Source organism: Homo sapiens, chromosome 17 (genome assembly GCF_000001405.40).
Source record: "Homo sapiens chromosome 17, GRCh38.p14 Primary Assembly".
NCBI classification, from domain to species: Eukaryota; Metazoa; Chordata; class Mammalia; order Primates; family Hominidae; genus Homo; species Homo sapiens.
In genome coordinates, this window is record NC_000017.11 from 58,401,417 (window position 1) to 58,419,502 (window position 18,086).

General features: G+C 37.1%; 1 protein-coding gene across 8 annotated transcripts in view; it reads right to left on the bottom strand.

Annotated features, from left to right (window-relative positions):
- Positions 1 to 16,118, bottom strand: part of RNF43 (ring finger protein 43) — a 65,035-nt gene extending 48,917 nt beyond the window's left edge. For 2 of the 8 annotated variants that reach the window (XM_047436332.1, NM_001438820.1), the window contains exons 1-3: positions 15,869 to 16,118; positions 15,601 to 15,782; positions 13,910 to 14,546 (exon numbers count right to left, since the gene is read on the bottom strand). In XM_047436332.1, coding sequence (XP_047292288.1) covers positions 13,910 to 14,161 — 252 coding nt within the window. In that variant the 5' untranslated portion in view covers positions 14,162 to 14,546; positions 15,601 to 15,782; positions 15,869 to 16,118. Of the gene's footprint in view, positions 1 to 1,223; positions 1,306 to 13,909 lie in introns of those variants that run through there. The other 6 variants (NM_001438822.1, NM_001438821.1, NM_001305544.3 and 3 more) reach the window with 5 other exon arrangements.

The following is an 18,086-nucleotide window of genomic DNA, read 5'->3' on the forward strand; positions in this document are numbered from 1 at the left end:
AGAAAATCAGATCTTCTGGCAACACTTACGAGGCAGGTGCAGTCATAAAGAACTTGACTTTTGATTCCATTGTCTCTGCCAGGACAGGTGGTATGGTAGAAGTATGGAATCTTGCCAGACAGGCTCTAACTCAAACCTCCCTTTAGAAAACAAAACAATAAAAATGGAAACAAAATGCCAAATCCTATTCCATACCCTGAAGATTGACATTGCTTGAAAAAGTAGGACATTTTATATAATACATTCATTTGTTTTAAGCTTACATCAACTCAGGAGAAATAAGACTATGAAAATGAAAGGTCAGTTGCAGGCTGGGCTCTCTCCTTATAAATTCAATTCCCTATTCCCCTGTATAAACTAAAGGGACACTTTCATTTCAGTGAATTTTATCCATATATTCCTAGCATAAAAAAAAAAAAAAAACCTATAATCTAATACCTGCATAGGAGTAACACAGACAAGTTAGCACTGCTGAGTAGAATAAAAACCTTTGGCAAATCCTACTTACTTCCCAGATCCTACCTTACCTTCCTAACACAAACTAGCACATCTCAAATTTTTGAGAATGGTCAGTTGATGATTCCATGAAAGAGACGGTCTTTCTCTAAAAAACTACAGCATGTTTGTTCAGAACCAAGTAAAAACAAAAGGATTGTTTCTAGTGGCAAAGATAGACAATTGATTATTTTTACCAGGTTTGTCTCCAGGGCAAGTCTTTGTGATTGATGATGTGTCTCCTGACCACAAGGACACCACAAGAAGGCTCAGAGGAAGAGTGCTCAAAGGATCCCTGTGAGGGCACTGTTAGCTGTCACCATTGGAAATACTGAACATTTCTGGTGTTCCTGGAATCTATTTCTAACCACTACTCTGTGGTTGTGATGAAGGGATAGGAAGAGATTGGAAATCTTCTAGAGCAAATGCTCTCTTCAGTTCATAACCACAGAACCAAGATAAAATAACAAGAATGTACTTTGCCCAAGGCATAATTCTGCCTAAATTTGCCCTATCCATCATTTTTTTCCCCTAATTCTTGTTTATGTTGTTGTTAATCTGCTCAAGGAAGGAAAGCTAGATAATCTACAAACAGGTTCCGGAAAGGCTTGGAAAATTTGTGGATTCAGAGAAGGATATTTAAGAGGGAGCCAAAATCTCTGAGAACAATGCCCTATAAATGCCCCAAAGTGTAAGAACCAAAATATTCAATGAATCATTGTTCTTACCCAGAAGATAATTTCTTAAAGTTATAGTCTTAATTTTCTTCAAATGATAAATTGTCTATTCAGGTCCCAGAGATGAGGCTGTGACACTAATACTTAACATGGTGGTTGTGTCTCTTTATGCCTGACTCAATCAGTTGAAATCCAAAAGTAAGTTCTTCCTTGATTTACCTGCCAAGACCTGAGTTCAGGCCCTCAGGGTGCTGAGGTTTTCCTTTGTGGGAGAAAATGACATCATCAACACCTCAGCAACAGTAGAGGAATGCAGGGAATGTGGCTCCCAACATTTGGTGATATCAACTGTCCTGGGAGAAACCCCAAACTCCCAAGAGTCAAACATTGGTTTAAAAAAGGAGTTTTTTTGGGGTGGGGGGGTAGGTTGTTGTTTCGAGTTTATTAGTAGTGTTTGATGTTTCCAAACACCAGTTTTAAAAGGGAAGATGGGTTGGGGGACCTCTTCCAGTAAGCGTGTACCTCAAGAACCAAACATACATGAATTAAGTCCAGATAAGGCAATTCAACTCATTTGTATCTTACTGAGGCACATCCAACCAAGGAAGAATAGAGACTTAGTTATATTAGGCTCTCTCCCAGCTCTGAGATGAGTATATTCTTTGGGGGACTTGCTAATGTTGCAAGTTTGCATTCAAAATAAATTCTAGGCACTCACATAATCCCCCAGTCTCCTCCAAACTTTCTTTGATGTCCAACAACTAAGGACAAGGATCTTTGATTATAAAACAATTTCTTTGGTTGGAAGAAAATTCTTTGCAGGGCGTGAACAGCAGGAGAAAGAAAAGGTTTTTCTGAAGTGCAAACTAGTTGGAAACCCCCTGGGGAAAGAATCTGATTCCCAGTCTTTGAGAGGAACAGGCCTGCCTGTACAAGTTGCCTCTGCTGAAGGCCTCTAAGAAGGCGCTTTTGTGTCTACTGTATGGCCCTCAGCAACAGCACGGCGGCCCTTCTCTTTTTTTTTGCCAGCGGAAGTTTTCCAACTCTGGGAATACACAATGCAGAAAGTCACGGTTTAATAACAAGGCATAGTTACTAATCAGATGGCCCCATTTCCACTCTTCCCAGTTGCCTCCAGATGCTTACATACTAGAGCTCTATCCCCCTCACCCCATGGGTGAACACCCACCAGCTGCTCTGAAATCTTATTTTTAGTATAAGTATTCAGCTTATCTCTAATAATTCACTTCACAGAGTACTTAGGATCAGAAGCATCCTACTCCTTTTACTTTCATCCAGACTGGTTCTAGGTTGTCTCTGGCTCTTTCAGGTTTTTCCAAAGGTTAGATTCACTTAGGTGCAGGTTAGTGATTGAAGTCAGTGTGCTCTGATCATTGGGACAACCTTGACGAAGCATTTACAATAAGGGTCCTCAATCTACTACAGATATTTTAAAATATGAAACTCCAGAGAAAGGCTCCTTTTTTGAGTGTGTTAACTGGAATGCAAAGACAGTACAGGACCAGAAGACTGGGAGTACAACTGAGTCTCATGCTTAGTTCTGCTACCTATTTATTGTAAGACATTAATTTAGTCAGATTTTTTTCTATCACCTACCAAACAAATTTTGTCTTTGATGTCCAACAACTAAGGACAAAGAAAAAGAACTAAATAGGCAAGATACATGTCCCTTTAATATATGAAATCTATTTCTAGAATAAGCATAAACTCTAAAAGTTTAGAGCTGGAAAGGATCTTAAAGATTATTTAGTTCTCCCCCAACTCTACACCAACAGATGAAAGATTAAGTGACTTGCTTTTACTTAAAATGATCATAAGGTGCCTAGGGACTTTTCATATACCCCAAGGGGGCAACTCAGTAATCCCAAATACTCACCAATGATAATTTTTAAATGTTTAATGTATGTCATAGAGTTTACTAACTTTAGAGTAAAATAACCTAATGTCACAGTGGATCGGTACATTCTTCTTAAATGGTTCTCTATATGCCTCATATCATACTAAAATCAACACATTTTAGGGAACAGGAATAACACACATTTATGACTAAAGTCAATAATAAGAAAATGGTACTAGAAACAATTTTTGCTAAATAGATATGATATTCAAATACTCTTCACCTTCTACATAAAAGGTCTTAGTATTTATTTCTTCCCTTATGGAATGCAGTTTGCGAAGAATTAAAATCAAGCTAGTTGAGATAAATTCAAACAAAACTTCCAATATGTTGAATTCTGTTTAAAGCTAAATTTACTGTTTTAACTAAAATTTAACAGGGACTGATTGGTACATTTTAGAAAGTCAGTTTACAATCTGAAAAAAAAAAGCCATGGTATCTAGTCATTCTAGACTCCTAAAGAAAATGCTAAAGATGAGTATTAAACACACAGGAATATAACAACCTGTAATTAACTGATAACAGTAAAAATTTAGAAGGTATGACTGGGTTGTAGTACTTCTTTTTTTTTTTTTTTTTTTTTTTTTTTGAGACAGAGTCTTGCTCTGTCGCCCAGGCTGGAGTGCAGTGGCACCATCTCGGCTCACTGCAAGCTCCACCTCCCGGGTTCATGCCATTCTCCTGCCTCAGCCTCCCGAGTAGCTGGGACTACAGGTGCATGCCGCCATGCCCAGTTAATTTTTTGTATTTTTAGTAGAGACGGGGTTTCACCATGTTAGCCAGGATGGTCTCGATCTCCTGACCTCGTGATCCACCTGCCTCGGCCTCCCAAAGTGCTGGGATTACAGGCGTGAGCCACCGCACCCGGACTGTAGTACTTCTTTCTCTAACTTTAAGCTACTTGAAGTTGCCTGGGTTAAAATTTAATATTTTTTCATTTGTTTTTTCTTTAATCATAGGGAATCTGAGACAGAATTACCACAGTCATTTGAATGACTCTTGAAAAAATGAAAATCAGCACTTTAGGCCAGGAATGGTAGCTCATGCCTGTAATCCCAGAGCTTTGGGAGGCAGAAGTGGGAGGATGGCTTGAGCCCAGGAGTTCAAGGTTATAGTAAGCTCTGATGGTGCCACTGCACTCCAGCCTGGGTGACAGAGAGAGGTGACAGAGAGAGAGACCCTGTCTCTAATGACAGAAAGAAAGAAAGAAAGAAAGAAAGAAAGAAAGAAAGAAAGAAAGAAAGAAAGAAAGAAAGAAAAAGAGAAAATAAATAAATCAGCACTCTAATGCATTTATGCCTACACCTACATCTGGCATTCAATACATAATGCCTCCTGCTGTTTAAGTTGATTCTCCTCAGTTGGACAAGGCTAAGGTGTTGTGTTGCTCTTTGAATTACTATAGTATCTGTCACAGAATTTGGTACAAATAGGAAAACCACATTATAAGGCATCTAGAGAATCCAGTGCCCCTTCTAGTCTTGGTAAGATTCTTAGCCTAGACTTTATAAAGAGGTGATATTGCTCTGAGAAGATCCAGGACTACAGACCACCTGATGTGCAGTGATTCTGTGGCAGAATAAATGACACATGCACCACGTAAAGTATTGCTAAACTGTGGTGAGGTATTTTTGGTCTGTTCACTTATTTTAAAGTATGCCTGTAGTTGACTAGGGATCAAAGAGGAAAGAGACCCTGCGGCAGTCTATATCTTCTTAATGGAATGTTCAGGGGGAAATCTCTGCTGACATGTGCTTTTTAATTTCCCTGCAGTGACCCCAAAAGGTTTATAATAAATAAATAAACTATGCTAAAAATATTGGCCAGTAAGATATAGCAGCAGATTGGAATTCTTTGATAAGCACTAATCTGAGTTCAATTCTTCATATATAAAATGAGAAGACTGGACTGATTGTTTTTTCTAGCTTGAAATTTGATGATTATATTTCACAAATGGAATATTCTGCCACTTTTCCCTCCCCTCCATCAAAACTGTATTTTACTCTAAGAATGGAAAACTGAATAGGACTTAATTCCAATATAGAGCCAATACAGTCCTTCAGAAGTTAAAGAAACTTGACCACAAGAATTTTAAAGTCAGATCATCAATATAATTCCAGGTAGAAGATATTAAAATGAGGGAACACAAAGCCTAGATCATATAAAAGATGTTTTTTGTTGTTTTAAAGTAGATAATACAAAAGACTGTAGAAAATGGTTTGGGGGAAAAAACGAATGGAAATCTATACTTTTTTTTTTTTTTAAAATAGCAAAATAAGTAGACTTATAAGGCCTTTAGTCTCATCTGAATTATTCTACAGAAGTAAAATACCAACAGTGTTTCTCAAATGTCATATATTTATATATGTATAACAATACCTTTTTGATATACTAGCACGCACAAAAGTGATAGGTACATAATAATTTAATGTGCTATTTAAAATTACAGTTGTATTATAGTCAATTTCCATCATGACAGGGTATTCTAGATTTAAAGCAACAACAACAAACAGGAGTCGTGAAGATAGTTATGCTGCCTCTGCTTTAGATTCAGAGACCAGAATTTTTTTTTTTTTTTTTTTTTTTTTTTGAGACAGGGTCTCATTCTGTCACCCAGGCAGAAATACAGTGGCACAATCTTGGCTCACTACAACCTCTGCCTCCCAGATTCAAGCGATTCTCCTGCCTCAGCCTCCTGAGTAGCTGGGACTACAGGTGTGCACTACCACACCCAGCTAATTTTTAAATTTTTTGGTAGAGACATGGTTTCACCATGTTGGCCAGGCTGGTCTCCAACTCCTGACTTCAAGTGATCCACCTGCCCTAGCCCCACAAAGTGCTGGGATTACAGGCGTGAGCCACCACACCCAGCCTAGAGACAAGAATTTCTAAATATTGTAGTCTAACTTCTTATCTTGAGGAATAATGCACCAGGCCTTTGTGCTTACAATTTTAAAAAAACCTTAGTTTTTAAATCATTTTGGTTACTCTGGTGTTTCCAAATTTGTAAATTAAACACAGATTCCAATATATTAAAAAGTATAGAACAAAATAAAATTTATCCATGAACTGTAAGTTTAGAACCCAGATAAAAAGAGTATGTAAAGTAGCTTATCTGTTATTCAAAACAAGCAAGCAACAACAAATCTTGGCTTTAAAAAATATATAAAGTTTTCCATTAGAGCAAATAGAAATTTAAGGGCCTAAAGAACACTGCCCTAGGGAAAGCAATGGAGCTTAAAGACTGGAAACTAAAGACACGGGAAGAAAACAAAGTTAAAGTTTGTTTTATACCCTCAGTTTTCTGAATGTAGTAACTAAATAGACACATAAAGCCACGACGGTTCTACTAATCTCAAAACATGTGAGTAAAATATCCGTTATTCTTAAGGGCCTTTCAGTGGAACCACCATGCTGAAGGGATTGTAGGCATTTCTTGAATTGATGCAGTTTCACTTCATATTTGGAGAGCAGAATTCATTTACTACACATAAGAAGATCTTTGTCAGACATCAATTTTTACTTCTGGAGTTCCTTCACCTAAGGTCAGGCCACTTTCTTATAACTGCATCACAATATTGTTGTCTGTCTGACTTTAAGTAATACATACAAGTACTTTTCAAATTAAGTAAACTGAAGGTAAATTTGTTTTGAGAATTTGGTTTAATTTCTTGAAATAATTGGGATTATGTTAGGATAGTTGCTTTTCATCTGGAGTCCTTAGATCTCTAGATATGTCTTAGAGAGTCAACTCACTGAGATTTTATGCAAAATTGTGTATGTTAAGTATTTGTGTGTATTTTGTGCCTATGGTCAATAACAATGATCACATTCTCAAAGGGGCCTGTGGCACACACAAACAAGATTAAAAACTGTGCTTTAGGGTATCTAAAAACCAGAACGGGTAATCACAAATTTAAGTACTAAGAAGGTAAGGTCCTTTGGATGCACGCTAATATCCTAAAATCAAAGGTTTAAAATCAGGACCTGAATAAATCATTCTTGGAAAACCAAAATATCCTAAACAGCAAGGTTTAAGCTATCAAACTAAAGAAAAAATTTAAAAATCCTGTGTAAAGGAGCACCTTAAACATACTGATTACAGCCATATTTATGATTTTGAAATAACAACACACGAGGCTGTTGGTAAGTCAGAAGAGTAAAGGAACATAGCCTGCTATATCAAGCCACACACACTCAAAATAATCCACCTTATAACATACTTTAAAAATGTGATAAGCATGTTTTATTCTAGAGTGATCTCCCAGCCATCAGAGTTACTCAATACCACAATATTCATTATATTCATTAATAAATATTTACTGAGTACCCACCATGCCCAAGGAGTAAGTATACTTAGGTGCCATTCTCAGGGATACAGCTTTGAACAAAGGAGACAAAAATCCTTGCTTTCACAGAACTCATATTCCACTGTGGGGAGATAGACAACTACAAAACTGAAACATTACAGCATGCCACGTCAATAATTCTGTAAAGAAAAATGAAGCAGGAAAGGAGAATATGAGTCCTCAGGGAAATAGGAAAAGACCTTTAGGATTTCCACTCAGTAGAACTGACCCCTGAGGAATCCACATCTTCAGATTCCTTAAAAATTGATTACTCTCCTATCTCCTGCAAACCAGACTGGCTCAGTCTCTGTGCAACTTTGTTCTTAGATGATTTACTTTCTTTCTCTTTCCCAATATATTTCCTTTTCTGTAAAATGGAGTTAATATCACCTGTTCTTACGTGGCTCCAGGTATTGCAAATCATTTTAAGCTTCTTGGAAGAAAATTTCTACATAAAGTTAATGGAATATCATTCTCACAGCCTTCTCTAACAATATCCTGCTACCAATTCTGGTTCCTAACAGGATATTACTCATCTATAACATTTTAAAAAATCTACTGTAATTAGCAATTTGAAAGGGATAAAAGGGAAAAAAACATTTAAAAAATCCAATAAACTCTTTCCAATGAACAAAATGTAAAGACTTTTTAATAAAACAAAAACAAAAAGCAAAACCATGATCTCCAGGAATACCTTGTTTCTTAGACGGTCTCACTATGTTGCCCAGACTGGTCTCCAACTCCTGGGCTCAAGTGATCCTCCCACCTTAGCCTCTCACGGTGCTGGGATTACAGGCATGAGCCACCACACCTGGCCCGGGAATACCTTTAATACTGCAGACAGCAGGGCAAAACCCTGTCTCTACAAAAAATTGAAATATTAGCTGGGCATGGTGCCCCGTGCTTGTGGTCCCAGCTACTTGGGGGAGCTGAAGTGGGCAGATCGCTTGAGACTAGGAGGTTGAGGCTGCAGTGAGCCGTGTCTGTGCCACTGCCCTCCATCCTGGAAGACAGAACAAGACCCTATCTCAAAATACAAAGAAACAAAAAAAGTAAAGTAAATTATGGCTAGTTTTGGGCTAATTACAACACACACACATATATACATACACACTTTACTATAATACAAAACCCAAGGAAGTACCTACCCCCCCAGCCCCGCCCCCCACCAACCGAGAGTCTGCCAAATGAACACTAAATAGCCTGATGGGAGCAATAGCCAGGGACATATTTCATTCATTACCTCCTATTAACCAGATATGTACGAAGCTGAACTTACAAATTTTTGTTGGATACAAATTTTTGTTGAAGTACAGAACTGTGATATATATAAATCTGTTTGATGATAACTTATAAAAGAGATATCTTCTTAACTTGAAAAATTATCATTAAAAATATTCTGCAGCTTCCTTCTATTCTGTGGGTGCCAGGCTTCTAACAACAAGGCCAAGTCTAGAATAGAAGACTCTAAAAGCCATGTCAGGAAGGCTCTGAGCTGGGATCACAGGAGACAAGCACCTAAGAATGTTTGTGCGCACAGAGGAACTGTGTCTGATGGTGTACTCCTGACTACATTCCAAAGTCAGTAATTAATTAATTGGATTTTCTGCACCTTCATTTACATAAGTAACAGAGTTGATCATACTTTGAATATCTACTCTGTACTTCTTCTAAAGGCTGGCATCAAAACAAAATCACAAAATTTCTATTTCAAAATTTCTTCATAGAAGGAACTCTAACTTGAGCAATGCCAGTTAAATGCATGCTATGTCAGTGTTTATTATTTCAGGTTCCTATATTAGATAACTTAACCTAGACTTTTAAAATGAAGAGAAAGGTGATGAAATATGTTACATTATAAGGGAGATACTGAGTAAACAGACATTGTGATTTACTAGTATCTTTGCAAATGAAACACAAAATGAGAGAAATAGAAGAAATACAGAGATTATTAGAAGGTAGCAGGATATGATGCACTCTGGATCAATCTCAGATAATGGTACTCATCACTTTCATTCCTTTCTACTCTGGAAATAAATTTTTTATACAAAGCCTATACTGATATTCTCTTCATCTGTGGCATTCTTACATATACAGAATTTTAGAGCTGGAAAAGCATGGGCTCTGCAGTTCAAGTTCCAGCAACACCACTTACTAGATAATAATAGTTAATACTTTGACAGATATTAACATTTTAATCCTCAGTTTCCTTATCTGTAAAATGTAAAAAATAAAGGTACTGAATTTCTTCTCTCATAAAGTTATTATGAGAATTCAGTGAGCTAATACATGTAAAGTGCATGTAAATAGCACAAGTTTGGCAATATTGTATTTTAATTCCTCAACTTCACAGCCTGGGAATCTGAAGCCTAGAAAGGTAAACACTATTTTGTCCCAAATCACACAACTATTAATATTTAGTGTCAGCATATTCTTCTGTGTGTAGAACTAAAAGTCAAGCCCCCCAAGTCACAGTTTAGACACTTTGTCAACTATAGTTTGCAATATAGGACTGTCTCTCTAGCTTTGGCCAAAAACTTAAAGTTTCAGGTCCTGCCTACAAATAATGTAAAAATGCAAAGATGGGATAACTATGTGTTGACTAACAGATAAAATTAAGAGGCAAGCAGAGACATTGTGCAAAGGGGAATTTCTCCAGGAGGTGCTCACTGCTACTGGCCAAGTGCTAAACTACTGCTGCTCCCATTGTAGGTCTGAAGACTCAGGGGAATACATTTTAATCTTGATCATAACTTTATCCTGGAGTCTAAGAAAATCCAGGATAACCAGCTGAGCAGGAAGAGTGTGATAGAGAATTGGTGACCTCTTTGTGCTACACTAAGATCCTCTTACTCTTTTGCTCTGAGAAGAAAGATTAATTTTGAGTTGTCCCTTGAAATAATATTTATAAATGATAAACAGGATTGAGAAATAAAATATGACTGTAATCACTTTTAGAAGTGGTGGCAATAATATTGCTTGAAATAAAAGAAACAAACATTGATAAGAGGTAACCAAACCAGAAAACCGGAAATTAGACAATGAATCAGCTCCAACACTTTTCCTTCTACAATGGTATAAACCAGGAGAGAAAGAATATATTCCAATGTGAATAAAAACAGTAAGAAGTAATCACTATCATTTAGTCCTTTTTATCAGTCACCGCCAGGTAATTAGGAGATCTGAAAAGTTTCCTTGACCTAGATTTTTGATGGCTATTAAAATACCAATCCAGAATAGCAGTGGAAGGTAATCCTAAATATACAAATTCAGTGGAAAACAAAAGAAAAATAAAAGAGTGGAAGGAAATCAGAGAAGAGGAAGAGACAAATATTTTGGCAAATATAGGGGAAACCTAAGAATTAGATACTTTAAAGACAATGACAAACCTGCAAAAAGAGTTGGAATGATACAGTAATATAAAGAAGCAACTCTTGGGGAAAATAATAAAATTTGGACAGGACTAAAATGAGATGTTCTGAAATGGAAAAGAGAGGACTTGAGAAATAGAAGGGCAAAGGCAACACCATTTCCTCTTCTATTTTGACTTTCTTCTAGCGCTTTTAGAAGAATATTACAATTTATAATTTTGAACATACCTTGTAAAATGAATCATTACTATTGGCAAGGAGAAACCTAAGCACAAAGACTGAGAGATAAGAATCAGAACAAAAATCATCAAAACTTGACTTTTAATGCCCTTATACATACAGCCATCAGATAAAGTTGAGACAAAATTCTTTTAGAGGCAATTCTATGGTCTATTTTACTATTCAACAAATTGGGGGCACATTGTCAAGGGGGGGGGTCTCCTTTTGTCTAAGAAAAAATTAAAATCATAATACAAATGAAAATTCAGTCAGTTTGGTCCTTATGAAATTGTCTATACACTGAATTAATTGAGCAAAATGTAAAGAAATGTCTGATTTTCAGAAATTATCTCAGAATTCCAGAAATAACAACATGGTTTTTTTTTTTTTAAATCACTGTTCTCATAACTGTACATTTTTTGGTACATACATAGCATCCTCAAGTTTAAAAAGATTTGACTGCAATCTTTGGAGACAAATAATCTTAACAGGTAACTACAACAATTCATAGGTAGAAGGATTCACAGAATTATCCAGAATTCCTCAAAACCGAAGAGAAGACTACTTTTAGATTTCTGACACCAGGGTACAGCTCTCCATTGAGAAAGCTAAAGTTCAGCAAAGCACATCTCTAGAAGATATAAACAGAACTTCAGTTAAATGGAAGGCTTGGCTAACCACAGTTGAGTAAACCTGAGTTGCAGTGTAATCTGATAAGGAACAAACAGCATGGATTCCAGAAGTGTAAACCATGTGTCCCTAACACACTAGAGTTCTTTGAAAGAATTAATCAAAGAATGGATAAAGAAAACCATATATATAATTCAGAAGCTTGTTTTTTAAAAAAGTTTCTCACAAGAGGCTGTTGAAAAACTTTAATAACTGTTGTAGATTAAAAATTGATTAACAGACAATAAACCGAAACCAATATGGAAAGTATCCAGAAATGAATACTAAGCTAGTGAAAAAACTTATTTAAAGACCTAAACGAAGCATATGTGGACAGAAAGGAGATGACTAAAAATTGCCAATGACATAAAACTATCCACTGTAAAGGCTGAAAGTCTTTGCTAAGTTATGATGAAATTCCCTCTTCACAAAGTAAAAGCAATACTTAATGTATAATGATAGGATCAAAGTTAATAGTTTAAAAAACAAAATAGATTGGTAAGATTTGCCAGAGTGAGAAAAACGATAGAACAATAGAAGACATGATAAAGATTGATAAAATAATGAATGGCAAAGAGAATGCCAACTGGTGCTGTTTGTTTACTTTTTCCTTTATGAAAACACAAACTTTATGTAGAGCTTTATGATAATAAGATTAAAACTTAAAAGAATACATTATTTTATGGAACACATAATTAGCCCACTGAACATGCTATCACAGGTTATCAATAAGGCACGTATGGCTCTCAAAAACTTCAGTGATATCAAAATATGACTAGCAAAATTACTTACGGTCCTAAAATGGAGCACACAATTCATGCTTCAGGGTATTAACTAGGCAAGGCCAGGAAGGAAGTTTCCTTTCCAATTGCCATAGTATTCAAGATGATTTATGAGTTCAGCTTTTAAGTATTCCTAATTCCATTTTAGAATCCAAATTATCTTATTCAAAAAAATCTTATGCCATTTTTCCAGATATACTCTTCTTTCCTATTTTTCTAAATAGCAAAGCCTTCCATTTTCACCTAATTCTCCTTCACTTCATTTATCCCAGCTTCAAAATATTGCCTAAGAAGTGATAATGAATAACCACTAAACCATATATTAAAGAATACATGTTTAGGAATAAGTTCTATAATCTGTTAAATTTTCCTATCTTCTTTAAGTAGACAAAAATTAAAATTCATACAATAAATTGGTTCTGTTCATAGTCTGTTCATACCACAAAATTAAAATTTGAGTTTGGATGCTAAGATGGATCACACTTAAGAATATTTTAACCTGTGTCCAGTAGCTACAGCAAGAAGTGTTCTTTTACATGATAAATTTCAATCAATAAGCAACATCATTTTATGGAGTAAGACAATGGAATGCCCATTAAAAAGGTATAGCCCTCTAGGCTCTGTCTTTACTATGGGGAATGAGCAATTGGTCTATGAAATGCTGTGCCCCCAGTCATTTCATAAATTCACCACATAAAGAATAGGCCATGTATGAATGACTTACAGGCAAAATTCACAGCCTGAAAGCCTAAGAAACTATGTCTGAAAAACTTGGCGGATCAGTAAAAAACATGTTAAATTTAAATTCCTGAAAATGATAAAATTATGTGTGGACAAGGCCAAAGTGATCAGGAGGCAGGTTTACACCTTGTGTCCATTTTGTAATCCAGTCCTCTCCATTTTGGGGTTAGCAATAGGGTGCCACACGTGGTGTAAGGCCAGCCATAGCATTCAAGCTTGACTGAATTTTAAGTGACACAGTAATCAAATATGCTCCAAGGGCATTCCAGAATTTCAGGTGCTGCTGACCATTAAAATCAACCTTCTTAGTGCTTACTTCAATTTAAACAGGATGTAAAATACAATCCTCGCATCAATTAAATATAAGCTCATATATTTCATCTATCAAAAATTAGTGCCCAGAATATATCACTTGAAAAAAAGGTATTATTATGTCTATCTAAGTAGTTATGCAACACCAGTTTAAAATAAGCAGATAATCTTCTAAAATATAGGATTTATGTATTTCCTCCAGAGTATAAAATAATAATTTGCTAAATTTAGAATGCCAATAAGGCAGTATCTACTCTTTCTATGAAATAGAAAGCTAAGCAGTAGAAGCCCGTGTATGGTATTTCATTTGGGAGACAAAAGAAGAAAGACATATTTCAAACAGATGGAAAGTGAAATATAATAAAGTTATACTTGCCTGCATTAATTTTCCTTCTGCTGGAGTTATTTCAGCAACACCAGCAAACACACCTTCCAAAGTGAGATTCAGTTTTCCTGTGGGGTCCATTTTCAAGGGGATCACTCTGATAATAGCTTTCTGTTCTGCTGATCTTTCAGACTCCACCGCTGCTGCCAGTACCAGTCCTGTGCGTCCAAAGCCTGCCTGCAGGGTAGCCATCAGCAGCCAGGGCCAGAGGGCAGCCAGCTGCAGCTGGTGGCCACCACTCATGCTACCAGCTGCAGCAATGCACTTCAACCATACATACTGCTTCCACTAGCTAATACCAAATGCAGGTTCTCAGATCCAGACAAATGGAGGAAAAGAACATTTATGCTTCCGTTTCAGAAAGCCAAGTCGTAGTTTTGGCCCTTCCTTTCTCTAAAGTTTATTCCCAAAAACAGGTAGCATTCCTGATTGGGCAGAGAAGAGGATATTTTCAGCCCACATCTGCTGCAGGTATGTCATTTTCTCCCATCTTCACTGTGACTAGTAAAGATCTCACCACTTCTCTTTGGAATTTCCAACTTTGCTTGTGATTGAATGTCACTTCGTGAATTTGTATTATGTCAGATCACTTGGCATTGCTCTTCCATATGCATCAAGTTGCCAGGCACTAAACCCAATGTTCATGAACAAAACAAGGCAAAGTAAACAGCTAAGGCCATGCATCAAAGGTGAGCGTGAAGAACTCCAGCTCAGAAAAGGAAGGGATGGCCCTTTTTAAGCCATAATATGTGTTAATGGTAAATGACTAAATACCACAAGGAGATTTTTTTTTTAATGGAGGAGAAGAGGGAACAATAATAAAAATTTCAGGCCACACGTTGATGTCCAAAGATGCTACAATATGTATTTAGAAAAGTTTCCACATTAAACTGTATTTCAGTGTGGCCAGGTTTCTAGGCCCACTGCATTTACATACTTTTCATGAACTTAGACATACCATAATTTTTTGTGTTTTACCAAAATTTGCCTATAAATTAGGTGCTAATTTATGTATCTTCACACATTACAGGATAATCCTGAGCATCACAACCTTTTCCAACTTTCATAATTAGAGTATTTGAAAAGGTTAGCTTTCCAATTATTTTTCCCAGTTAAAATTCATATTTCCATCTCCATTTTCTTTTCTCTCTTAAGGATTCTTGATTTTATTCTCCAGCTCGGAAATGCCGAGCACTTTGATTTCCCATGAGATGCTTTTGGAAACTACTTTAATATCCAGATTTTATGATCTGTAATTTTCTAGGTTCATAAGAAAAACAAAGGACTATTCCTCACATGTATCCAAATTCCCTGAGGGGGTAGGGAATAAAAGGTAGGGGGAGCAGGGAGGCGATTAACCACAGGCTCTAGGTAGAATACCCTGAAAAAATACAAATAATCTTGAGTAGAATAGATCTGTGCTATTTCTAGGCACTATGAAAATTTGCGTCTTTGTACAAACACAGAATAAGATTTTTAAAATGTGCACCCTTAAGTAAATATAAATACACCTCACCCACAAAGCCCTCTGTGTTCCAAGGTCAAGTTTAAAAATATTATAAAGTCTTCAGAATAAGTGCTGAAAAGCCAAGCAATTGAACATGAACCTGTTATATGGATTCTTTTCTTTTGCTGAGGCAGAGGGAGGGGGGAAAAAGGAATTTCAAAAGAAATCTGCAAACCTGTTGCGCTGTCGGGCCCACTGGAATCCACGGGGGTGAAACAAATTCAATTATGCTTTTACAGATCCTGCTCAAAAAAGGTTTCAACTGCTTAACCAAGTACAGCTCATTCTTCCACCTTCTTACTCTGCAACCAAACCAAGTGCCCCATACTACAGGTAGGTGCCGAGAAATTCCGCAGCCTGAAAAAATAATCCATGCAGGTCAAAGGCAGAAATTTACTCCGGGATGAGAGATGCTGTCCCCTAGAACTAAATTAAACACTTACAGAAAATCCAAAATCATTTCTGAAACCTCCTTGCTAACAAAAGTTCTTTTTTTCTCCAAACAGCATATAAAATGATCAAGTCTTGAAAGAGAAAAGAAGCAAAGTAGCAAATACATCAACAATTCACTATCAGAAACACATAAAATCCCAGAGAGAGAGAAGGCAGTATCTCTGAATCATGGATGGACTTGGAAAGTTCGGAAGGATTCCGAGTGCTTCCTTTCAGAAAGACAATTCTGGATCAACTCCCTAGAGCAGGAAGCCTGTGGTTTGTAATTGGTGTTCTAGCTCTGACTCCCTCCCCTGGGACTGCAATCACGCTCTCTACCTGCTGACAAAGTGAGGGTGGAGCTGCTAGAGGCAACCACTCCCCACCCTGCCCCCCTCCTCCTGGTGCTCACACACAACACTTACTTAACCAGACCCGTTCTTTCGCTCTCCCCCCTCCCTCAGCTCCTCTACTCCCTCTACTGAGCCACAGCTAAACTGCATCCAATTCGATCCCGAGTACCTTTCTCTGGGTAAGCAAGCTACCACATGCAAATCAGGGCCACTCAAAGATATCTAAGCAGACTCTGCACCCAACAGAGCATAGATGATGGTATGAGGAAATAAACAGAAAAAAATAAAGGTAATCCGGAAGATAAAAGAATGGACACAAGGTTTTGCAAATATAAGTTCAAAAGGATTTCTGCTCATTCCAAGTTTGAGTGTCTATAAATGGCAGAAAGCCAGAATAAAGTGATCCTGTGTTTTAGTACTTACTGATTTATTGCTGCTTATGTCTGCTACCCTGGGAAGGGCTCTGTCCATTTTATGCTTAGCTTTTCTTCAGCTCTTACTAATTTAAATTCAGTAGCTCTGTCTAAACTGTGCCTATATGGAACTTTCAAATCAGGTTGATGTCAGATGTCTGGAATCCAACTGTTATTTTCTTTTCAATCTTTGGGAGGTGAAATAATACTATGGATCAGACCTATGCCTTCAATGTAAGACTCCAAATAAGTCCATGTCATAAATACAAGCCAAAGGGTAAAATATGATTAATGAGAAGAACATAGGCAAAAAGAAAATGAATTTCTGGCTAATTACCACATTCATGAACTATAATCCTTATTACTACCCTGCCATTAGAAATAATACAACAGTTTCTAATACATTTATAACATTTGAAGTTTCAAATTACCAGATTATATTTGACTGTGGTGAGACATTTTATTTCTGAACCGCTGCCATAAACTTTCAAAATTATACAAATGAACAACAATGTGGATATAGTTAAATCTAGTGAACTGTACACTTAAAAATGGTTATGATAGTAAATTTTATGTGTTTCTTACCTCATGTAAAAACGAATCTCTGATCATCTGTAAAATGCTGATGATAATAATTACGATAGGTCTGTTGTAAAGATTAAATGACATAATGCCTCTGAAAGCAAAAAGGATGAGTAGCCTATTGACCTTCAACATTGTTTCCCCTGTAGATAAGGTTTATGACAGTAGTTTCAGAATTTCAGATCTAATAACTAACCTAGATCAAAGACAAATTCGAAAATAAATTTTTTGTTTATTTTTGTTGTTTGAGACAGGGTCTTGTGTTACCCACGCTGGAGCACAGTTGTGCCATCATGGCTCACTGCAGCCTTGACCTTCATGGCCTCCCACCTCAGCCTCCAGAGTAGCTGGGATCACAGGTGCGTCCCACCACACCCTGCAAATTTTTTTTTTTTTTTTTTTGAGACGGAGTCCCGCTCTGTTGCCCAGGCTGGAGTGCAGTGGCGCTATCTCGGCTCACTGCAAGCTCCGCCTCCCGGTTCATGCCATTCTCCTGCCTCAGCCTCCCGAGTAGCTGGGATTACAGGCGCCCGCCACCACGCCCAGCTAATTTTTTGTATTTTTAGTAGAGACGGGGTTTCACCGTGTTAGCCAGGATGGTCTCCATCTCCTGACCTTGTGATCCACCCGCCTCGGTCTCCCAAAGTGCTGGGATTACAGGCGTGAGCCACTGCGCCTGGCCAACACCCTGCAAATTTAAAAAAAATTTTTGTTGGGCCAGGCGTGGTGACTCACGCCTATAATCCCAGCACTTTGGTTGACCAAGGTGGGTGGATCACGAGGTCGGGAATTTGAGACCAGCCTGACCAACATAGTTTAATTTAACATAGTTAAACTAAAAAATAACCTACAAATGGGCTTTGCCTCATCTATTCCTGCTT